The following is a 25,137-nucleotide window of genomic DNA, read 5'->3' as shown; positions in this document are numbered from 1 at the left end:
TTGCTTACTCTCAGCTAAGAAGAAAATCATGTTTCCCCCTTTAAAGCCCATGACAAATTTTACAATACTGCATCCTGATGAATTAACTACAACATCGTTTTAAAATATTTTCAAGGAGTAAAAATTTGACATAAATATGAAACAAGATACAATGAAAACACTCAAAATTCATTCTTCACATTTGGTTACAGAAATGCCCATATGAACAATGGTCAAGCCACATGACTAATTAATCAAATCAGGCTACGATATATCCACAGAGATAAATTTAAGGAAAATCAAGAGGATATACATTCAGATTTTGGCAGGTGGCTCCCAGTGAGAGAGTATTGATAAGGGTATGATATTTCTATCTGATTGTATTTTCTCAGATGAGCACTTGGTTACATTACACACAAAAAAATGAATACATGATTTTTCATAAAGAAGACGCCAACAAAAGTAAAAACAATGAGATAATTGAAAATGTTTTTATTGGTTGAGACAAAATATAACACTTTAAAATTTTGTAAAATACGCAGTTTTACAAGTGCTATTTGGAAAAAGCCTCTACTTTGTACTTGGCCTAGATGGCAAAAAGTACTGCTCAAGTGTTTCTCTCTTGTCTACTGCCTACCCATAAAACTCAGGAAAACCGTTCAGGAAAAAAACCACAATCCCCAGTAACATCAAACCCACAATGGACACACAGTTATAAAGACTTTAAAGGGATTAAAAATACAAGAGATACCATTAAATAGCCAAAAATGCTTAGCATTCAAATTACCCTGTTAACCTTTTGGTAGACATCTTTCAATTCCATGCTACACATCATCACTTCAAACAAAAAAATCATCTGTTTCCTCTTTCCAAACAGCCACATACCCCATATTCTTTTTCCTGTTCACCGCACTTGGTTCTTATACCCATCATTATTTAAATCAAATATCTAATTTAAACAATCATGTTGAATGCCTGCCAGTATTAACCTAAGGGTCGATGTCTTGGCAGTTGGCTGTGATCATCATTCTTTACCTCAGCCTTTATTTTGCTTCTCTTAAAAATGCAAAGACTAAGCAACGGCATTTGAATATGCCACATTTTAGCAGAGGTTTATAAAAACAAGAGCATTTACAGAGATACTAAGCTACCTAATCACTCGGCCCACCATGAAATGAGGCACTTTTATTCCAGCACAGGTTTTCAGACTCAGCTCCACTGCTGCTGATCAAACAGATCCCACTGCTGTGGAGGATCTCAACTGTGCCCCAGCCACCTCCTGCCTGCAGCTGTGCCTCTATGAGCACTCACGGACCGACACATCATCCACATAATCGCAGGGGAGGATGTAAAGTTCCATCCACCAAGGGAGCCAGGTAAAGCCGGGAAGCCTGAGGAGCGCGCGCTGTGGACCTGGCCTTGCTAACAGGCTCTGGCACTGAGAATGGAGCCTTTCAGAAGCACACAATCTTCCTTGGTGCTGGTCTCCAAGGATTATCCCACATTGTCCTTGAGCTGAGGCTTTTCTATTTTTTGCCAATATAGGGGTAAAGTAATGACCACAGGGAACAAACTGAGCCTGGGAGGAAGGCTCACAGAGGACTAGGGCTTGAAACAGGAGTCCTTCCTAGGCCAGCGTCCAATGGCTGGTGGAAAGGGTCTCTCAACCTATGCACTCATTTCACCTGCTCCCAGCAGGTTCCTGTGTCTCCAAGGTTACTCGTGCTCCCTGCAAAGAGCTGACGCTAACTGAGGCGAGACAGTGGGCTAGGCTCTTGTCCCCTTCCCCAGTGTGGTGGTGGCACTCACAATAGTAGGTCCTCAAGGTAAGTTTGGTCCACAAAAACAGATACCCATAAAAGTGAAATAGCATGAAACACTGCTGCGCAGCCCTTGGGCCATGATTTGATTAACAAGAAATAATCCCATTCGAGGCAGATGGGAACCAGCTCTGATATATACTGGTAATACTGATCGGATACTGTTGTCAAAGAGAAGTAAATGAGGTAATGCACAAAACGAATGCCACACAGTGCCTGGCACAGACTCAATAAATGGAATCGATTGTAAGGAGTATCCACAGATGCTACTAAACAAATTACAGAAAGTGCACGCCTACAAATCTAAATTGTCGGCATATGTTCCTTCATATGAAGACAATGGCGTTCTGCTTCCACTAACAATTCCTAATTCATCCATTTGTTTTGTTCATTTGTTCTCCGCTGATTCACAGGATCCCACCCAGATATTATTATAAAAATGTACAAGTCCAATGAAGACAGAAGTTAGAGAGAATTCTGTCACTCACTCACTCATGTCCACATCAGTATATACTAATGCTCTAACAGTGTAAGCTGTGAGTGTATTTCATTTTTAAAGTCTGTAACCTACTGATTTTATTGCTCCTAACTGTCTCTGCTTGAGTTTGAAAACTGAACATACTGGTTCACTGTGGTGGTTCTTAATCTTTCGGAGAGGAGACTTCTGAGTATCAAGTAACACCTAAGGCCCTTCTCCCCAGTCACAAACGGACGTAAACACAACATTTGGTAGACAACACTGGGGGTCAGGGACTCCTGTGTTATTACAAAGTTAAGCTGTGAGTTTGTACAAGCATTGTGTATCAACAGAAGGAATGTACCTGTGCGACTGCTGAAAAAGAACTCCAACTCCTCAGAAAGCCCAGTCAAGATGCTGCACAGATCATCGGGACATTTCTTCCCGGAAAACTGGTATCGTCAAATTAATTAGCACCTTCTAAGAAAACTGTCCTTTCGTCCATTTGTTTTTTTCCTGATTTCACACCCAGAAAGACTGTAAAAAAAAATTTGTCATATACAGCCCTGAAACTGCTCCCACACAATTACTTTCAGGGCTGTCTGATAATTTAATACCTAAGAAAATGTTAAGAAAAATTCATTCACATAAAATCCTCTTATAACTGTCATGAGTGCTTTGGACCACATAAAGGTAAGACGAGCAAACAGTGAGACGTGTTTGCTTCTGCCCAGGCAAATGGAACAAATCAAATTCCAAGAGTTACCTAATGCACCAACCTATGTCACCACAGGTGTCCTCGTTTGGTTAACAGTGAAACAAGACAGCTTTTAAGAGAGAAGCAGGTTTCTTGCACATGAAGAATTCCTTAGTGCCACGATGTAGCTATTTAGGTGCAGATCCAAACAGGCCCTTTACTCTTAACTAATTTGAAACCCACTTAATTCACTCCACGATGCAAAAGGAAAATATATGGATTTTAAGAGAACTTGTTACACAAGATGGTGAAACTGCTCATTTTTTTTTTTTTTTAGAAGTGTGCCAACCGGCCAGAGAACGGCAGTTACCACAGAATGTATTTTGCTGGTGCCCACCATTACAATGGGATGAACCAAAGGTTGGTGTGCCAGGAATGTTCCTATAATGTTCTCACTTAATGCTCACAGCAACCTTGTAGGGTAGGTAGCTCATATTCCCATTTTATAGACAGAAAAATTAAGGACCAAAACATGGAGAGTAACCCATCCGAAGTCACAATGCAATTAACTGGTGCAGCTGGTATGTGAATCTGGTCTCTTAATTCCAAAGCTATGTTCTGGTGTATCACAATAAATTCTGCATGCTGCACATCTCCTAACACTCAAGGTATAGCTGGGTCAGCAACTTTCCCCCTCTCCCCTCCAGCCAACATACACGCACACTCCAGGCTCATTTTAAACAAGCTATCCATTTTCAAAGTACTGATCAATCTGCATCTAATGCAAAAGCAACACTGAAGCCCAAGCAGTATATTCCCACCCACTAAAAAAAATTTTTAGGCAGGTTTTTTTTTTAATGTGCTTAGCATAGAAACTGAAGGTAGGGGGAAGCACAAGAATCATTTGCTATGAAAACAAAGTTCACCAATTCCATGTACTTTCTGACAATCACCCATGAGATTTATAGGATCCTGTCTTTAAAACTTAAAAGGGTCAGACAGAAATTGAGTAAGTATCACTTTTTCTTGATTTAATATTTTCTGCACTCTACTACAACCCCAAATTTTATCTTGGCATACAAACAGTAATTTACATTATCTTCTATCCTGAATTCCTGGATTTATAATAACTAAAAATAGGTATTAAGCTTACCACTCAAATTTGATCTTATCAAACAAGCCCATGACCCACCTAACAAGGGAAGGACACTGTGGATCACACCTTTAGCAATTAACAAAATTCCTAAAATCAAGTAGATTTGGAATCTTAAACCCCTGGTCCAAAAATCCAAGATTGAGACCACTGACAACATATGATATTTATTATTATTATTGATACTTTTTCCTTATTTTCTTGGATATCAAAGGGAAATTATAATTTCAACATTAGTGCTAATCCTACAAAAATTACAGTCCATCGTGTGTAAACAGTCAAGGAGATTGTTCCACATATAAAAGATCAAAACTACAACTATTATCATCATGGTGCTGCCCACAGCGTAAACCTGCTACAGAAGATTAGAAGACTTGGGACCCAGCTATGACCAACATTAACATCGTCATGGCAAAAGCACCAAGACAAGAGGTGGACAGTAGGAACTCTCATTTCTCACAGGCCCTTAGACATTCTGCTTATGGCCAGTAATCTCTTTATTCCAGAGAAGCAGGCTCTGATAATCCCAAACATGAAAGACAAAAATGTAGCCAACAGAACCAGAAAGGCATATCCTACATCTCAAACTGGCAACAGAATGAAAACTGAACCTGAGAGGCCAAATGGTAAAAAGAATAACAAAAGGCTCAGAAACTGCATTGTTGCCCATTCTAAACGGCATTGCAACTTCAAACATTGCACATAATTCCGTCTTGGGGTTCTAAACATGGGTGAACAAACCAGTTTGCCTTCATTTTTCTGGCATGTGGTGTTTCAGGAAATCTACAAAAGACTGCCCCAAGAGGTAGGTTTATAAATACAAGAAAAAAGATTGTTTATCGCTGTAGTTTTCATTTAAAAAAAAAAAAAAAAAGGGTAGGGGAATTTTAGCCTAAGCAATGCTGAATTAGTTTTCTTTTTAACCGGCCAATCCTTTGCTACTCTCCATAACTGGTAACAGACAGCTAATTCACTAAGAGTGAAATTAGTTTTTCATCATTCAGACACTGATTAAACTAACAAGAACATATAAAATTGAAAGTCATGAAAAGTATCAAATTAGCAGTATTTTAGATGTTATATTCTTATCTTATAAACTGTTATTTTTATATACCACACACACAGTATCATTATCTTATTCATTAGAATAAATCTCTTGCCTCTGAAACTATTCAAATAGTCTATTAAAAATAAAAAATGGTATGTACTTTTAATATATAAGCATCTAAAATAACTACACGTTGACTAGATTATTAAAACTTTCATCAAAATATTTTTAAATTTCAGGATCATGGCCACAGAAGCAGGAATAGCAAGCAGCTACAATAAATGCTCCAGAACACTGAGAATTTTCTAGTCTCTTACCCAGAATCCCTTAGGATATTTTCTTAATATACGCACCAAGTTTTAACCTTTTAAACAAAGTTACCTTCTCCTATTTTTCAGAGAACAGGTTAGAACAGAAAGAAAAATGCTAAAGACCTTTGAAAATTGAAAGCATAGATTACAAACTGTAGTTCTGCCTTGCCTACAGTATGTTTGGGTGGTTGGGGCGGGTGTTAACTACTTACTTTTTTTTTTTTTTTTTTTGAGACAAAGTCTCACTCTGCTGCCCAGGCTGGAGTGCAGTGGTGCGATCTCGGCTCACTGCAACCTCCGCCTCCCAAGTTCAAGCGATTCTTGTGCCTCAGCCTCCCGAGTAGCTAGTATTACAGGCTCCAGCCACCACCACGCCCAGCTAATTTTTGTATTTTTAGTAGAGACGGGGTTTTACCATGTTGTCCAGGCTGTTCTCAAACTCCTGACCTCAGGCGATCCACCCACCTCTGCCTCTCAAAGTGCTGGGATTACAGGTGTGAGCCACCGCGCCTGGCTACGACTTACTAAGTCTTAACAATCAAATAAAGTACTCTCAGTAAAAGTTCCAAGTAGAAAAAGCCACATTACATTTGGCTACAAACTCAAGCAGTTTTAAAAATTTTATATAGACATACATATTCTAAGAATCTATTGTGGGATAAAGACAATGAGGAAATCAACGCGTGCCCCTCCTTAGGAAAATTCAAGAGCACACATGGATAGGTTAGGGTGACTCTTTTCACCTTCTGGTCTTCTTTAATGCTTCTCCTCTGGTATGAGTCAAGCAGCTAGAATAGGAAAGCTTTATCAGCAAACAAAACCTCTTAGGAAGGTACTGCTTCAAATAGTTCATGTGCATTCCTCTTAAATGAAAGTTAAAAAAAAAAAAAAAAAAAAAAGCTATCCACCTCTGCAAATAAACATTTTGGCAAAACAAATAAAAAACAAAATGTCACCACCTAAAGCTGAAAAGACTAACAAGCATGATGTAACTCAATTATATCCACAAACAAATCAGAATTGCACTTACAGTTTCTGTAATTAATCTTTAGACTACACATTAATTAAAAAGCATGTTCATTGTCTATATAACATTCAGCTTAAGAAAACTTTAAAATGTGTATTTTTATTGGTGGAACAACCAGACTGTTAACCCAGTCTCAACACAAGACCAGTGCTGCAGAGCTGACAGCTAAAGCTTCTCATCAATAAGACAAAATGAAAGAGCTCTATAATCCTAAACTCGATCCTCTGCACTGCAGAGGGAGTTAGGCAAAAGCAATGTCTTACTGTGCTCTTTTGGTTTCAAAACTAATGCCAAAATAATATAAAACCTAAGAGAAAGAAAATATTCATTAGAAACTTAAACCAACAAATATGTCATTTAAAAAACACTTGAAAGACAATAGCTAGAAAGCAGTAAAAATGCAATCTGTGTTTTTAAAAACTATTTGGGGTGTTTGAAGGAATACAATATACCTATGCAATCCATAAATCTCCAAAGCAAAAACAGCTGAAGGTGTCACCATGACTGGTCTCTCCTACACCAAACACTTCACTTAATCATAGTCTTGGTATTTAGAATTAAAGTGGGCACTTCTTACAGTGAGCAGTGAAAATTCACCTTGGCTAGTTAGTAAAGCAAATAAAACACTGCAATTTATACAGTATAACTGTCCTACTTAGAAACATCATGCATAAAAACTGGATTTAGACAGACAGAGCCTTTTATTTAGGACCTGTGTGAACTCGGCCAAAGCACATAACCCCTCGGAGCATCAGTTTCCTCTTCTACAAATGAGGATATGGATCTCAACTTCGCAGGATTATTGGGAGGATTAGCTATGGTATACACAGAGCAACCAACATAATGCTAGAAACGAGTGTAACTGCTGTCATTGTCACCATCAACAGAAGTGAGCAATTCATGGCATAATGACATGATGTGCAAATAAGTGTCAAGTCATGACATATGTCCACATCAAAATACATTGTAATAAATGAATTCATCCAAGAACTCTTGTAATGTATGAAAACTGGTTTAATCTGGGTGGCAAAAAGAAAAACAGCTACTTGCAGTATTTCTCTTTTTCACTTAGAGAATAGCATTTTCAAGTAACTTTTGTTTCTCCATGTCATTCAGCTCCTCTAAACTATTTCAACCAAATTAGGAATATTAATAAAACACTCTGAGCCAGATGGATGGTCAAAATAAAACTTCAGGCCTGTACTTGGCAGCATGTGAAATATAAACAAGCCATCTGAATGCCAACAAAGTACCATGCCAGTCTACCTGAAACTTCAGCTTCAGTTCACCATACAACATTTAACTAAAAGAAAAGTCTATTTTTAACCTCCACAATGGTGTTCTTGGGATATTTATCCAAGCCCTCAATTCTTTTTTTTTTTTTTTTTGAGAAGGAGTCTCGCTCTGTTGCCCAGGCTGGAGTGCTGTGGCGCAATCTCGGCTCACTACAAGCTCTGCCTCCCGGGTTCACGCCATTCTCCTGCCTCAGCCTCCGGAGTAGCTGGGACTACAGGCGCCCGCCACCACGCCCAGCTAATTTTTTTGTATTTTTTTTTTTTTTTTAGAAGAGACAGGGTTTCACCATGTTAGCCAGGATGGTCTCGATCTCCTGACCTTGTGATCCACCCGCCTCAGCCTCCCAAAGCGCTGGGATTACAGGTGTGAGCCATTGCGCCCAGCCTCCAATTCCTCAATTCTTTAGAGGCAACTTTAAATACAAAGCTACACCCTGTACAAGCCTGTAATACCAGCTATTAGGGAGGCTAAGGCAGGGAGACAGCTTGAGCTCAGGAGTTCGAGTCCAACCTGGGCAACACAGAAAGACCCTGTCTCTACAAAATAAATAAACTTTAAAAGTTATTTTATTGAAAAATAAAATAACTACACCCTCCTCTCTATAATGCTCCCACGAACATTAGGTTTGAATGTCGTAACAGCTATCTGTAAACTGGAACATGAAATTGTCTAGGGAAAAAAAAACACTGAACGAGTTTAAAAAAAAACAATAAAAATTCATCATTTAGAAAAATAACCTAGTGTTCATATTTAAGGAAAACACAGGAAATTAGGTTTTTTACTTTCAAATTATAAGTGGATTTGTAAAAATCAACTAAAGTATTTTGAACTAACTATAAGGATCTTGTTACCTCTTTTATATAGTTTAGAAAATTTAATCATAATCGAACTTTATTTCTGTATTAGGCAAGTCTTACCTTCCAATTTACATATGGACAAGAGAACCAAAATAACCACCTAAAAATAGGGCACAGCATGGTTCCCAATACACTCAATTATGATATTTAAAACTTTTTAATCATGGCATATGTTAGGATTTTTGCAAATCCACCCACTAAAATACAGCTAAAAAATTTGCAAAATGCTTTGAAAAATTTACGTTAATCCACATAATTTCCCTGTAAACAAGGATAGACATAAGAATCAAAGGCACAAAACGAAAATACTGACCAACATTTTCATCTAAATTTGGAGCAATTCAGTAGCAGCAGCAGAACTGCAAATTTTTTATAATTCCCGAACTCCTACTGTTGAAAAACTACTAATTAAAACCGTACTGAGCTTTTAAAAACAGACCGCCACCATAACAGCAGCAGAGTTCATCCTGGCAGGCAACCACCAGAGACGGGACATTCAATGCTCAGCAAAGGCACCCTCAGCTAGGAGGCAGCCAGAAAGCTACAGCAGAGACAGGCCCCTCCAAGACTGACCAACCCAGAAACAGCTCATTTGTGTCTCATGCCACAAGCTTGCCAGCAAAAAGCCAGACACAGGAATACTGCCATGTCCAAGCACTCCACATCCTGCTCCAGCACCTGCAAACAGGAACCACAGGCCAGTGCCCTATAAGTCAGTGGGCACAGGACCTGCCCACCAGGCACCCAGTAGGCATAGGGCCCATCTACCATCATCCTCAGACACCACAGCCAGGCCTCTGTCATTCAGCTTAGAGCCTGAAACAGAGCTGCTGGCTGCTACGAAAGGTTAGGAGATCAAACTCCACGGAAGCCCGTCCACTCTCTGCTTTTATTAAATGTATTCTCTAAGTTCAACTTTAAATGGAACCAATGCTGTCACTTCTGTTGTTGTCAACTGCATGTAGGAGTGGACAAAAAGCTCCACATTATGTAGAAGAAAAGGCATGGGAAAACTGGTTCAAATTCTGACTGTGACACTCATTGGTAGGGTGATCTTGGACAAGTTATCCAATTTTGGAAAGTGTCCTTTTCCTTCTCTCCCACATCAACCAGAACACCCACTAAGTCTGACCTGTGCGTGGCTGTCATGAAACGGACTGGAGACTCCGCACTGGAGGAGGATGCTGCCTGCTGTAGTCATCTCTCTCATCTCCCCCACCAACCAACCCAGCCACTTGGTGCAGCGCCTGGCAGAAAAAGGGCCAATATATGTCCATTTGCAGAACTGAGTTTCATAATCCAAAAATACTCATGTAGGTTTCTACATGAGTAGAACTGCTAATAGAACTAGGTCCCTCTTCCTGGAGACCTCAGCCCCTAGAACTTCCTGTGTCACTTATGTCACAACCTCAGAATGGTCACCCCTGATCTCCCACCTACAGTCAGGCCATACCTCCTCCACCCACCCTGCAAAACACTACTGACATGACAAGGTTTACCTACTTCATCTGTTGGCCTGTACTCCCCACTCTCCAGAATGTGATTCCATGTGAACAGGGACCCTTGTCATTTTAGTTCTTTGCTGAAACTCCAGCACCCAGAATAGTGCCTGACACAGATGCAAGGAATACTTGTTAAGTAACAGAAGGGAAGACCATCCACACAGTCACAACTTCTCAGTCCCCAAGGTTCCTCTTGATGTCCTCCTCCTTCCTCTCTCTCTTCTGAAACATCCCCATCCTGCCACTCTTTCTACATAAAGGCTCCCTAGCCAGCCCAGCCCAGCTCAGCATCCCTTTTTCCTTCTCTTAGGGAGGGTCAATAGTCCTTACTGCCTATACCATCCGTGTTGCACTTTTTTTAGACTACCTTAGACTGAGTTATCTTTGCATGTGGCTGTCTTACCTCCCTATATTTTAAGTTTCTAAAGGCTTGTTATTTCGCACCTTTAGAGAAGAATTTCAAATATGTACAATTTCAAAAAACTTGAGTGTCGTCACAGTACCAAGGTTTTTAATTTAAACAATTCTGATCGTAGAGACAGATAAAATATTACTTTGCTAAGCTGATTATAATTTAACTGTTCTGTGGTGACTAAGAGTCGCTGAGATAAATACTTATAAGCTATAGCTGATATTCTCAGGCACTACTGACGGTTTTTAGGAAGGACTATCTGAACCTACTAACTGACCTTAAGGAACTTGTTCTTTATAATTCATTACCGATTTTGTAATAAACTTTCTGTCTTCTTCACTATCCAGCTTTCAGGTATAAAAACTTCTTGCCGCTATAAACTCTTCTCTCTTAATTTGCTGTGAACAGCGAGGTCAATAGGTTAGAACCTAAAATAAGGGTGAATCAGCACAGAATGAGGCTGTGACGTAGGAGGGAAGAGGGAAAGAAGAGACCCAGTGCTTATTTTGGGCTTACACAGGTGCTCCATAAATCCCCATTGATTAAATGAGTCACCAACTCAGTAGTTCCTCCGCAAGTAGCAGGGAAGTAAACGCCAGCCATGTTCTAAGGAGTGGTACTTACAGTTCCCAAGAGCCCACAGCTTCACAGAGCATGTTTCTATTATCTCACTTGCTCTTGACAACTTTGTGAGGTTAGGTGGCACAAGCATCATCGATATGATGATATTCATTTTTAAGGCTAGGGAAACTTCATCTCAGAAAGGTGACATGAGCTGTCCAAGATCGCACACCTGGTAAACGCCCAGGCATCCCGTCTTTTTCATTCCTTCCACTAAGCCCATTTGTAGAAAGCCACTGTTGTTTCTCCAGGTAAAAGAACTTCAGGTTAAGGCTCTTATGTAACTGAGAGAGCAGGGAAAACACTCTGCTATTATAATCTACACTCTGGAAGAGCATTTGCCAACAGTCATTGCTTACTGCTAACAAGCAAATTCAATTTCTCATTTCTCACCAAAACAAACAGGGGACAGAAATCAAGAAGATGAGAAATACTTCTAAATTTGACCGTTTCTATGCTATTTTATAATTATAATTTTTCTGTGGTTCACATTAAAATAGCCTGAAACACCTGACACTAAAAACCCTCCTTGCTCTCTACCTGAAAGATTAATCTATTCCATCTAAGGAACTTATTTTCCATTTTACAGAGGCTGCTCAGATATGTAAAAAGTGAAGCTCAATTACAAATCTGGGAATCCAAATTAAAGTCCAGTTTAAAATGCTGATGTATATCCATCTTTGGCCCATGGCAAAAATGCACGCTCCAAGGTCGCAGACAATATGAACTGTGTTCTCATAGCACTGCATTCTTTTCCTTCCTAACACATTTGTGTGAGTCATTGCCAATCAATGAATATTTATTGAGGGCCTACTACATGCCAACTGTCTAGGCACTGATCAGCTATTTACTGATTTAACGTTTGTCGGCGCCATAAGAAGAGTCGCCGCTGCTTTTTTGCTCATCACTGTGTGCTACAACCCAGCAGAGTGCCTAGTACACAGCAGGGGCTCAATAAACATTAGATGAATGAATGAATATGGGGAGGGGAGGGGAGGGGAGGAGAGAAGAAAGGTGATGAGGGGAGAGAGAAGGGGCCACTACTTTGTATATAAAGAAATCAGGGCTTTGCTCTACCCAAACACGCCTTATGATCCACCAGCGATCTGATGAATTCTGAAAGGCACCACATGCAATGCACAGCTGTAAGTATAGCAGCTGTCACGCAAAGGAGCTGAGGTCCAGAACTATGAAGAATTCAGCCCTTTGTTTTTCTCTCTGTCTCATAACGAAAATGAAGTCAAGCCCACTGTCAATCTACCTGTCGGCTCTATGTATTCAACATGCGGCTTTCAGCAATACTAAGTTAACACTGCCTCTGAATGACATTTATGTTGATTCACTCTCTGACATCACTGCCTGAAAAGATATTATTTAAATGTTTGAGGTCACACATAAGACCTAAACAGAACTGAGTTAATTAAAAAAAAAAAAAAAGACTCCATTTCAGGTCTTTGCAAGCTATAAATTGGTTTTAACTGAGTATTTAATTTAAAAGTAAAAAAGGTTTGACTCATTACTTAAACTCTCCAAAGTTTAAGTCTTAAAGAGCAAATAGGTCTCTTTAACCAGTAAGCTGTTAAAAACAGACTGTAAGTTCCAACAGAGAGCTCTGCATAAACATAAGTCTTTTAATTAATTAAAACCTAGGATTCTGGGTTATAGGCTGCCCAGAGTAGTACAAAATAATAGGATAATAAGAAATATGAACTATTTAATACGAAACACCAACAGTCTACGCAGGTATAAAAATGCAGCTATTAAGTTCATATATCACTAATAAAACAAAAAGTATATGTTCAAGTTTTTCCCCAAATCCAACCAAGAGAAAAATAAACAGATAAACAAAAAAGCAAAAGAGTAATGACATATGTTCTAAACATGCACACTAAAGTATGCCAAACAGAGAAAAGCGTTAAAGTAAGGTTGCTATTAAACTACAAATCTATTTAAGTACAGGAGTTAGTTATGATTAGTGGCACAGTAAAGAGGGTACTGTCCTCCCCATCTCCAGCCCCCTACAAATAACTTACCCGGAAGGCTGGTAACATTAGTTATAAACAAAATGAATACTAAATAAAGAAACAAGTTGAATTACATAAAAAGTTTTCACTACAAACAGTTAAGCACTAAGCCTAATAGCAATAAAATCCCAGAACTCAGTTAAAAGTTAAAAAAAAAAAAAACTGGGAATTTTCTAGACTCTGATCGTCTGATTCAGGATCAAAAGCATTTAATGCTCTGAAGCAGTGACTACATCACATTCAATAAATAGACAATGCATATTCAGTAATAGGCCTACTAACTGTTTCACGGGGGAATTAATTCTATTTCCATTTTGTGGTGACATACAAAGAATACATACTTGAAAAATCAGAACAGACTTCTTGCCTACATTCCTTAATGCCGATTTTAACATTTTCCCAAATCGAGTTTACGATATGATTTTATTTACAGTATGACTTCCACAACTCACTTTGCAATGTTCTGGATAAAGGATGGACTCGTTCGTTCAGATGACTAAAAAGAAATCTACTTAAGACCTAAGGAGAGCAAAAAAAAAACAAAAAAACAAAAAAACAAAAAACACAAACCTGTATTTGTATCAATAAGAAACTAACCATACTGTGCCTTGGCATATTTTCAAACTGGGATCTATGAACTATTCCCCAATTCACATTAAAATTCTTCATTAAAAAAAAAAGCCCCAACGTGTCAGTATGCCCACTGGAAATATGATACAGCCAACCAAACTATTTTCCTACCCAGAAATTATCCCCTCCCTTTTTAAGTGTGACTACACTTTACCTTTTGTTCGAAATCATCAGAAGTCGTAAAACTATGAGAATTGAGTCAAAACGACAAAACAACACGCTCTCTAACTTCCACATCCCCCTGGGCATCCTTTCGGAAGCCCACCGCACCCGCAGTCTCCCTGCCCTCCCCGCCGCCTCCTGTCTCTGTCTCTCACTGTCTCTGCCTCCCCCACTCCCACACCCCGACTCCGCGACCGACGCGGCCCGCGTCCTGCGCGGCGGGCCCGAGTCTGCGGAGCCGGGGCTGTCAAGCTAGCCGCGAGAAAGCTCGGGCGCCCGCCGTGCGCGCGGCTGCGGAGCGCGGCTTGGGGTGCCAGCGGGGGAACGTCCGGCCCCGGAACGCCGTCCGCGCACTTTCTGCCGCCCAGGAGCTAAGTCACAAGTTAAGAAACAGCCCGAGCGCGCGGCGGCCGTGATTCAGCAGCGGGGCCGGGTCGGCAGGGCGGGAGGGCAGCGATCGCAGGGCCCGAGCGGGACCGCAGGGCGGGAGCGGGGCCGGGGCAGGGCCGAGTCCGGAAAAGGTCACCGAGATGCCGCGGGCGCCGCCGCCCGAGCCCGCGACCCGCCTCGCGGTCGGGCCAGCAGCAGCGAGGGCGGCAGGGCGGCGTCCTGGGCGGGCGTGGCGCCGGGGCCGGGCGGGCGGGCCGGGGGGCTCCTACCTTTCCGGCTCTTGGGGGAGCTCCGCTTGCTCCGGGCGCTGGCTCGCTCTTCCTCAATCGCAGCTGCTATCTCAGGGTTGTCTTCCCCATTGTACCAGACCAGGAGCTCCTCGCCCGGCGCGATTGGCTGCGGGGAGAGAAGAGACAAGCGCCGGGCCAATCAGAGCGGCGGTTGTTGGCGGGGGCGGGGCGCGCACCGGGACGCGGGCGGGAGCGGCGCCGATGGCAAACAGCTGTCGGCGGCGCCGCGCGCACCCGGCCGGCAGGAAGGGCTCCCGGCCCCGTGCGGGCCGCGCCGGCGCCCGGAACCCTCTGCTGGAGGGAGGACCGCACCCGCGGCGTGGGGCGAGGGGCGCGGAAGGCCCGGTGACGGGTAGCGGAGCCCGGGTGCTGTCCCAGTTTCCTGTTTAAAGCCTCACGACGGCCCACGCACGAGAAAAAATAAAACATGGGCCCATTTTGCTCACGAAATCTAAGTCGAGGAGAAATGTAAAGCATAACTGAAAAGCGTGCGGTGTGGAAAGCGGAGTGCTGAAAGACAACGACTAGCGCGCGTTCCAGACCAAGAGCAACTTCAACAGGACAACGAGGAGGAACCACGCGCAAGCACTTACAAATGCGCCGCGGTTTCTATCCCAGAGCCGCCAACGGGAGGCCGCCCGGGGCCACCAACCTGCTCTGGTCCAGGGAGGTCCGTGCCTCGCCCTTCGGACCGGACATCAAACTTCCACATTTTAACTTTTAAATACAGCAGGAAGTATCTCCCATGTATTATGCTCCTAAACCATCACATTCTTAAGCCACGTATGACTGGAAGTAGTGAGGGCCACCATCAAATTGATTCCACCCAGAACAAGATCCCGAAGAAAAGATCCACTGAGTGCAAAGTTCACACCCCTAGAATTTGGGGAAACAGCCTATTGGTTTCTCTCACAACAAATGATCTGTTAAAAAAGTTACAAGGGTATCAATACAAGTAAAATTCTATCTAAAACCCACTGAATAAAATGAGAATCCGTGAGTCCAGCCTCATGTGAATGAATGAAGAAAGGAAGGAATGAACAAGTAAATAAAAAGGAAAGCTCTTCCTTAAAGGAGATCCCAACTAATCAGTAAAAAAGAAATGTTGGAATTAGAAAAGCGCCATTTGGCAATCATCACAGTAATGATTAATTCAGGCAAGAATCATAAATGGATGCTAAAAGTAGGTAAAAGTTTGAGGAGTAACAAAACACATAGCCTCAGAATATCTCCCCATAAAATATTTATTAATTACAAAAGAAAAAAAACAACACTTTTGTAATAAGACATACCAACATCATATGTCTCCTGATACGATGCACAGAAAACAGAGCATCACTTCTGGTAGATTTCTGCCCAAAATGCATACGTCGAATCTAATCATGATGAAACCATAAGAGAAGCTCAAACTCTGGGACATTCTACAAAATAACCAACCAGTTCTCAAAACTGAAAGGTTATAAAAGACAAAGACTAAGGTACCAGCCAAACACATAAGACATAACAACTGAATGTGGAAACGTTTTCTTTTCCTACAAAGACATGATTGGAACAATTGACAGAACCTGAGTAAGGTGTACATATTAGCTAGTAAAATAATGTGTTGCTGTTAGCTTCCTGATTTGGATCATTGCACAATGGTTATCCAAGAGAGTGATCCTTTTTGTTTTTTGTTTCTTTTTTTTTTTTTTTTTTTTGCGGGGAGGGAGATTCCACCTACGGTTTAGAAACAAAATAGTTCCTCACTTCAACATACCTTCTAGTCTAGATAAAGCCCCCAAAAGTGAATATTACTTCGTTTAATTCTCTGCAGAACTCTCACTGTCTACACAGTCCAAATTTAAAAATATTCTAAATTCTTTAAATTAAAACAAGGCAGCTGTTTCCTTGGCTCTCACCCACCCCTAAGAAGGCTAAAATCTGCCTTTTTCTTATTTTTGAACCAATACATGATTTCCCTTCTTGAACCAGTTAAATCTAACCAAAAAACTTACTTTAATATATATTAATAAATTAAAACAGCCATCAAGAACGCCTTTTGGCATTCTGATGAACTAATCTGTTGAAAGAACAGGCTTATGTTAAAGTAAACTGTTTCTAGATTGTGTAAATTCCAAATGTATACTTTCTCTATTTTTTTGTTATAAGTCACATATTGAAGTGGTATCAACTAATATTTGAAATGACTAGAGTTCTCAGAAATATGAAAAGTCTTCAAACCAATGCAAAAAAGAGCATGGGAAGGAGTGAAGACAAATGTATTCCCCATATATTCCCCCACTGAAATGGTATAACCAGAGAACTGGCTAGAAGATACCACCGGACATTTTCAAGATACCTCTAAGAATAAGAGCTTAAGTTTCCCTGTTCACTCCACTGCAGTTGTCAGTGAAGTGCTAACTGAACTAGCAACTTGGTGAAGTTAAATATCCACACAAACTCTACTTGGGAGGGCACTCATGTCCTAAGATATTCTTGTTGCTGCAAAACACACAAAGTAAAAACACACCAGAATCTGTATCACAAATCAAATATAAAATTTCTAGCACTGGTGAAGTGTTAGATCAAGAGGAACACATTCGTTAGCTGCTAAACAGCCTTCAAAATTATTAGCGGGCATAGTGGCTCATGGCTGCAATCCCAGAACTTTGGGAGGCCAAGGCAGGCGAATCGCTTGAGCGCAGGAGTTTGAGACCAGCCTGGGCAACATGGCGAAACTCTGTCTCTACTGAAAATACAAAAATTAGCAAGGCATGGTGGTGTGTGCCTGTAGTCACAGCTATTCAGGAGGCTCAAGTAGGAGAATCACTGGAGCTTGGGAGGTGGAGGCTGCAGTGAGCCAAGATTGTGTCACTGCACTCCAGCCCACAAGACAGAGTGAGACCCTATCTTAAAAAATAAATAAATAAATAAATAAATAAATAAATAAATAAATAAAAACAAGTAGTAGAAAACAAAACAAAAATTATTAGCAACTTGAAATGGTTATATTACGGAGCGATATATGCTTCGCAACTTTATATTAAAACAGCTACACCAATAGACCCTATGAAGAGGAAAAATAATAGTATTTTTTTTAAACCAAGGCTTGTTTTCTTCCATATTATAATATATTGGTTTTTTTCTTCTGTACTGGTTAGCATTTTTAAGTCAAGTTCAGAAGAAAAGAAAAACTACTCCCTTCAACAAAGGAAATATAAATCCACATTAAAAAAATAAAGTCAAAAGACCAAACAACCTCTTTTTAAATATATTTTAATATTAAAAAAATTAACAACAACAAAGATTTTAAACTCTTCCCACTTTCTCTTTGGGTTCAAACAGGTATAAAACCAAGAATCTGCTCCATATTCTCTCCTTTAAACATCAGCATATATAAAATAAAACTTGAAATTTTACCAAACAAATCAGGAAGAAGCAAGAGTTCTAATATTCCTTATACTGGGTAAGGAATATTAGAAAAATGTGTCAGAAATATTAGAAAATTAGAGAAGTATTCCAGAATCACTCAAACACACACAGTACATCCACTCATACCCACCTACGATCCAGTCCCCAGCACGGTCTTTTAAAAAATCATAGGTCAGATCTCGGCCTCAACTCGCCAGTGGGTGAACAGCACTTAAGCCTAAAACTCATCCATCCCTGCAGACCTCAACAGCCTCATCTCCTAAGATTCCTCTCCTCCTCCCTACAGCCACATGGGCTTTTGTTCTATTCCTTTAAAATAAAAAACAAACAAAAGGCTGGGCACGGTGGCTCACGCCTGTAAATCCCAGCATTTTGGGAGGCCGAGGTGGGCAGATCACGAGGTCAGGAGTTCGAGACCACCTGACCAATATGGTGAAACCCCGTCTCTACTAAAAATACAAAATTTAGCTGGGCATGGTGGCATGCGCCCATAGTCCCAGCTACTCAAGAGGCTGGGGCAGAAGAATCGCTTGAACCTGGGAGGCGGAGGTTGCAATGAGCCAAGATCACGCCATTGCACTCCAGCCTGGGCGACAGAGCACAACTCTGTCTCAAAAAAAAAAAAAAAAACCATTAGCTTATTCCTACTCCAAGGTCTTTGCTCCTACCACTCCTCTTCCTGGACTGTTCTTCCAGCAGACCTTTTGCATGGCCAGCTCCTTCCTATCCAAGGAGTGGGGTTCGAACGTCTGTCCTCAGGAAGGCCTTCCCTGACTCACTGGAGACAAAGCAGCCCTCTCCTACCTAGCTAGTCTCTATCACATTTCCCTGTCTTAACACACTGATCGCTACCAGAAATTACTTTCTTATTTACTTATTATCTGCCTCTTCCCCTATAACACGAAACATCCTCCAGACCAGAGACCTTGTCTGTCCTGTTCACTACTATAGGAGAGTACTTGGTATACAGTAGACTCTCAATAGATATTCACCAAACTAATGAACAGAGAAATGAATAGATAGCAGATTTAACAGCTAACTTTCAGGAATTTTAAATCATTTCTAATCATATTACAAACAAAACCAGTGTTGAGATTTCCCAATTATCTGGGTATAATAATAAGTTGAGAAGATACAGAGCCCACAGAGCAGCACATGTAATTTCTTCACAAAGCCTAACCCACGGGACACTTAATCTAGAAGAATAGAGTTAGATAATCACTAGTAAAAAATCTGAAAGGCTTTGTACATACTTGAGCAGATATCAAAGATAAAGACTGGGGGAGGTCTGCAAAAATCAGAACTATGTTATTTCGGACAAAGGTAAAAATAATAGTACTAGTATAGCTAGTTAACACTTGAGGACTTACACTGAACTAAGAACTGTTCACAGAACCTTATATATATATATATATTGGCTTGTTTAACCTTCACAACAAACTATGAAGCAGTTTTATTATTACCTCCACTTTATGGATGAGAAAACTAAGACACAGAGAGATCCTTTGCGTGGTCACATATCTAGAAGCCAAAATTTGCTCACAAGTCAGTCTGCTCCAGAGTCCCCACTCCTGACCATGACACCATACCACCTTGTGAAAAATAACAACAATCATGTATAAGCACTTACTAGGTGCTGGAGCTCTATCCGTATTCACCCATGCAATCATCACAACAATCCTATGAGGTCAATACCATAATTACCTGTATCTTACAATGTGGGAATTGAGGCACACAGAAGGACTTAGCTAAGGTTACAAAGCTAATAAGGTCACACCTACTTGCCTTGGGTCACAGCAAGTCAAGATCTAACCCAGGCAGTCTGGCTTCAGAGTTCACTCTCCTAACCACTATTCTATCTTGATTCTCAGTGTTTCTGTGAATTTGCATCAGAGATGAACACATTTTAACTTGAAGTACAATGAAGGAATTGCAGTGTCCTAATATCTACATGAGCTTGCATGCCTCCAAAACTTCCTTCCTATTACCTTGATTGTCTCATATTCATCCCCTAGCTAGTATTTCATCTCCACCAGGATTCAACCTCACTGATTCAACCATATGTATTTCTCCTTTAAATACTTCTGAGAAACAATGCATTCTTGAATCCAACTTCACACTCCTATATAAGAAAATTGTAGAGTAATACCTACTAGAAAAGCATGCTACTACGATCCAGCAGAATAAAAATGGAAAACAAGGTTTTTAAAGTCCTAAATAAGAAAGTGTAACAAAAAATCTGCAGGGACTGGATACAAGGACCTGGGTATAAATGTGATAAAAGGCAGTCTAGTTGGCTAACAATGTCAGGAAAGATGCAGCAAAATTAAACAGCTACAGGTTAACTAAACTTCAGAAGGCCTACTGCCACTACACTAACAAAACACAGCACACTGCAAAGCTGGCCACAATTTGAAATGTGTGCTCATCAAAAGTGTTCAACTCCATGGAGATCATTTTTTCCATAGACTATTCTCCAACCTATGACATTTTTAATGGAAGTAAGTGAATAAAGAGAAACTTGCCTTATAGCAATTTTGCTATCTATTGCAAAAAGCAACAACCATCCATCTTAACAGGCTGGAAATTCTGCCTTAGAATATCTCCATGTATAATGTGAGGATCTGTCTTTTTTTTTTTTTTTTTTTTTTTTTTTGAGACAGAGTCTTGCTCTGTTACCCAGGCTGGAGTGCAGTGGTGTGATCTTGGCTCACTGCAAACCCTCCCTCCCAGGTTCACGCCCTTCTCCTGCCTCAGCCTCCCGAGTAGCTGGGACTACAGGTGCCCGCCACCATGCCTGGCTTATTTTTTGTATTTTTTAGTAGAGACGGGGTTTCACCATGTTAGCCAGGATGGTCTCAATCTCCTGACCTCATGATCCGCCCGCCTTGGCCTCCCAAAGCGCTGGGATTACAGGCGTGAGCCACTGCGCCCGTCCGGATCTGTCTTCTTAAAGAATGTGACCCATGAAAATGAGGGAGATATGGCCTTTGCTCAACAAAGAAATGCAGCAACACTCCACGCTTCCTCACACTCATGTCCCTGAATGTGCTCCATAACCTCATTACCAATCCTAAAACATGACTTTCTTCTTCTTTTCAACAATTAATATCTCCAAAGAAAAATTTGGCAGAAAGGAAGAAACATGTTCTGTTCAATTTGTATTCTGAGTAAAATTTAGGGAAAAGAAAAGCTAATCCAAGGCTGCATTAATATCAGAGACTAACAGTGTGTATTCAGTTAACACAGACCCACCATACCTACTGATAGTTTCTTACAGTAGGATAAATCTGCCAGACAGTTCCTAATGCCTCTGTGTCATAGGAGAAGGGAAGCAGCTGCCACATGCTTAACTCATCAGTATCTTTCAAGATGCAGTGTGTAATTACTTAACACGATCTTCATGCTTTAGCTCCATGACACACACAGGTAACCATATATTAAAACACAGAACCTTAAGAGTGTGGATAAAGCACTTCCCAATATAATCCCTCCCAGGTCTGCAAAGTCATTGTCAGTCACAACTAAGGACAGCATTAGAAAAATATAAGCAGGCCCAGGCATTGTGGCTTGTGCCGGTAATCCCAGCACTTTGGGAGGCTGAGGCAGGTAGATCGCTTGAGCCCAGCAGTTTGAGACCAGCCTGGGTAACATAGCAAAGCTCTGTCTCTACAAAAAATTCAAAACTCAGCCGGGTGTGGTGGCATGTGCCCATAGTCCTGGCTACTCGGGAGGTTGAGGTCCGAGGATCGCCCAAGGCTGGGGAGGCTTAGGCTGCAGTGAGCCGTGATGGAGCCCCTGCACTCCAGCCTGAGAGACAGAATGAGACCGTCTCAAAAAAAGAAAAAGGAAAACACAAGCAGCGTAACTAACAGTAAATTAATTCTAATGCTGTTACCTTTAAAGTTTTATAGTAAATGGCTCTGTTGATTTCCAGTGGGAATAAATTTTGCTCTTCTCCTGAGCAAGCCCAATTCACATATCGCAGCCAGTTTCCCTTCTCTGGATCAGTGGCATCAATGCACATCCATCCCAAATTTGGGTAATACACCTTGAAAATGGAGAAAAGTAAAAAACTTTTGTTAAAATAGGAGTATCTTTAAAATGCCTCCATTTTTAACTTTTAAGGATAATTCTTTTTCATTATATGCAAGTACTCTATATAAAGCATTTCATAAAAACAAAACAAGCGACAGAGAAAAGAAAAATACAAGGTGAAAACTGAAATTCGAAACTGTAATTCTCATTATTTTTCTATTTAGGTTTGTTTGCCCCGCGCCCCCCACCCCTACACACACACACACACACACACACACACACACACACACACACACAAACTTAAAGAGCTATAGTCAGCATGCTTGGGATCTCCAAATGCTTTACAAATACGTACACAGAGACAAATGACAACTATGCTCTGTAAAGTGTGACTTAGAAAGGAAAACAGCTTGCAGTGGTATTCAGCAGCACCCAAATCCCAAGCTTTCTGGGTTGCTCTGCTAATCGAGTATGGCACCTGGCCCTGCAGGGCTATACAATTCAGCAGGTCCCTTTCTGGCAGAGGTGGCAGGGACTTCAGGAGTGAACACGCATTGTGAACCAGGCACATGGGTGACAGGATATGATGCTTCTGCAAACTCAACTGACCCTTAAAACATACTCCATCCAGAGCATCTGCAAGGATGAAGGGGTGATGGAATAGACTCTGGGAAATATCAGTGGCCTTCAAAAAGAAAAGGACCAAAACCTCAACCCCTTCCAGGAGTCAAATCAAATCTCCTCTTGCAAGAAGCCTTCCCTTCTCACCCACACCAATTCCTCCCACAGATGCTTCCAGCACTTATTTATCATCCTTCATTTTAAAAGAACATCTATTTGGCAACTATTTTTAACTTTAATTTTGTATATACATGCATACATATACACATTTTCCCAAAACCAGTCTACAAAACACTCGAGTAGGCACTGAAACAGAACTGCAGAATCAACTGGCTGACAGACGTGCTGGGCAAAAGAAATGAGTCTTTTACTTTATTTTTAGGAAGAAAGGATATAATCTAGATGTTTCCATTTCTTTCTCATTATTCCCACCACTCATGCCTTCTTCCCTCCCGTACCCACATTAATCACCTTTCTTTACTGCAACTTTCCTTCTGGAACAAAGCTCCCACTCCCCCCGCTGATGGTGAGGATGCTGCTCTTCTGGGCATGCCTGGGTGTCTAGGCCTGTGATTGCCAAGGGGCAGCATCCACCTTACCGGGCCCTAACACTGCCTTCTTCCTCTTGAAAGTCAAACATCAGGCATAATGCTACATGCCTGACATATTATCTCATTTAACCCTATGTAGCAGGCTTATTAGCTCTCCTTTCAACATGTGAAAATTGAGGCTCAAAAGTTAAATAACTTTCCCAAAGTCACCTGTTTAATTGTCATAAAGAAAGGCTTCGACTCAGATCTCCTTGTCTTCTGTGTATCACTGCCTTCCTTGACCATCCTAGTTAACTGAACTACCAACATCTAATGAGCACCTACTGCGTAACAGGTACCATGCTAGAAGGTGCACTGTAGTTACTTTAATCATCATAGGCACCAAGGAGAGTATCTGTACACAGTAACTTACATTATTACCCCATCTGCAACATAAACTGCCCCTGGGCTCAGGGATAATAAGTTTCATTTTAATTTACTGCAGTGATGGCAAAGTCCCACTCACTCCCCACCCAAATACTGGCACAGCTACTGAGACTGATGAGACTACGGAGACAAACACAGAGATAGTTGCCAAGAAAACCACACAGTTCACAAGGTAGCTGGAGTCTATCTACCTGCCTCAGGATAAAAATATAGGTTGTGCCACAACTTCCTGGCTCTCAGGTCAATACAGCCATTTGCAAAAAGCAAAGTGTTACAGTTGAGTACAATTTTTATTCATACATAACTCATTTTGTTTCAAAGGAGACTAAGGCATCTTCTAAGTCATACTGACTGATGTACAAAAAGAGAATACTTGCTTTTGTAGAAAAAGATGACACTTCAATTTTTAAAAATAGGCCAAGAAGTAATTCACAAACGAATACACGTAGCCAAAACCTCATAATACTAAACTTAGTTAATAAAAAATAACTTGAAAGCAAAACAATTTTAACCTTTTAAATGGGCACACAAAAAAAATTTCTTAAAGATAGGAAAGGGTGTGAAAAAACAGATATTCCCCCAAACACCTCTGAACAGAAAACAAATTGATTTTGTGAAGAATTTAGCAGTACCTGACCAAAAATATATATATATATTTAAAATATACACAGACTAACCAGCACATACACTTGTAGGAATTCATTCTAATGAGATCATTGGACAATTGTACCCAGATGTATATACAAAAATGTTCACAGAAGTGTGGTTTACTGTAAATTGCTTCCAATTCATGGCTAAATGGAAAACAATATGGAATTAACTCAGTAAATTATGGTCCATCCATATAGCTGAAACCTTAGACACTAAAAAGTACTGTGGTGCAAATGATTAATTAGATTATATGGCACGATTTATTTCCTGTTAGATATACCTATATACTTGAAAATTTTTTCCAATAAACATGCATTATTTCTGTAATTAGAAGACAGCAAAGATAACCAGATGTTGTGGAAATACATTGATCAGCATAAAGGCATTCACAATACGTTGATGATTGAATAAAGCATTTATAGGCCAGGCACGGTGGTTCACGCCTGTAATCCCAGCACTCTGGGAGGCCGAGACGGGAGGAATCATGAGGTCAGGAGATTGAGACCATCCTGGCTAACACGGTGAAACCCCATCTCTACTAAAAATACAAAAAAATTAGCCGGGCGTGGTGGCGGGTGCCAGAAGTCCCAGCTACTGGGGAGGCTGAGGCAGGAGAATGGCGTGAACACGGGAGGCAGAGCTTGCAGTGAGCCAAGATCGCGTCACTGCACTCCAGCCTGGGCGACAGAGCAAGACTCTGTCTCAGAAAAAAAAAAGGAATAAAGAAAAAAAAGATAATCTCAATTTGGTAAAAAAGTGTTTC

The 25,137-nt window shown here is 40.8% G+C and overlaps 1 protein-coding gene across 13 annotated transcripts in view, besides 5 other annotated features; it reads right to left on the bottom strand.

Moving 5' to 3' along the window:
* Window positions 1-25,137, bottom strand: part of PRDM2 (PR/SET domain 2) — a 124,892-nt gene that overhangs the window by 60,937 nt on the left and 38,818 nt on the right. For 7 of the 13 annotated variants that reach the window (NM_001393986.1, NM_001135610.2, XM_047429994.1 and 4 more), the window contains 2 exons: window positions 21,986-22,138; window positions 14,656-14,782 (listed from right to left, as the gene is read on the bottom strand). In NM_001393986.1, coding sequence (NP_001380915.1) covers window positions 14,656-14,782; window positions 21,986-22,138 — 280 coding nt within the window. Of the gene's footprint in view, window positions 1-13,656; window positions 13,724-13,988; window positions 14,227-14,655; window positions 14,783-21,985; window positions 22,139-25,137 lie in introns of those variants that run through there. The other 6 variants (NM_001393987.1, NM_001393988.1, NM_001007257.3 and 3 more) reach the window with 4 other exon arrangements.
* Window positions 14,025-14,074: an enhancer, noted in NCBI's record as "active region_220". NCBI's record gives its function as "activates an Ori minimal core promoter by ATAC-STARR-seq in GM12878 lymphoblastoid cells {active_cell/tissue: GM12878}" and the evidence as "EXISTENCE:reporter gene assay evidence [ECO:0000049][PMID:35858748]".
* Window positions 14,325-14,634: a silencer, noted in NCBI's record as "silent region_290". NCBI's record gives its function as "represses an Ori minimal core promoter by ATAC-STARR-seq in GM12878 lymphoblastoid cells {active_cell/tissue: GM12878}" and the evidence as "EXISTENCE:reporter gene assay evidence [ECO:0000049][PMID:35858748]".
* Window positions 14,585-14,803: a silencer, noted in NCBI's record as "fragment chr1:14075835-14076053 (GRCh37/hg19 assembly coordinates)". NCBI's record gives its function as "represses an EF-1alpha promoter that drives an FKBP-Casp9 reporter gene in an ReSE screen in K562 erythroleukemia cells {active_cell/tissue: K562}" and the evidence as "EXISTENCE:reporter gene assay evidence [ECO:0000049][PMID:32094911]".
* Window positions 14,585-15,094: a biological region, named in NCBI's record as "ReSE screen-validated silencer GRCh37_chr1:14075835-14076053".
* Window positions 14,705-15,094: a silencer, noted in NCBI's record as "silent region_289". NCBI's record gives its function as "represses an Ori minimal core promoter by ATAC-STARR-seq in GM12878 lymphoblastoid cells {active_cell/tissue: GM12878}" and the evidence as "EXISTENCE:reporter gene assay evidence [ECO:0000049][PMID:35858748]".

This window comes from Homo sapiens, chromosome 1 (genome assembly GCF_000001405.40).
Source record: "Homo sapiens chromosome 1, GRCh38.p14 Primary Assembly".
Lineage (NCBI taxonomy): Eukaryota > Metazoa > Chordata > Mammalia > Primates > Hominidae > Homo > Homo sapiens.
Note: the sequence above shows the minus strand (reverse complement) of the source record. Positions and strands in the feature narration are given on the sequence as shown.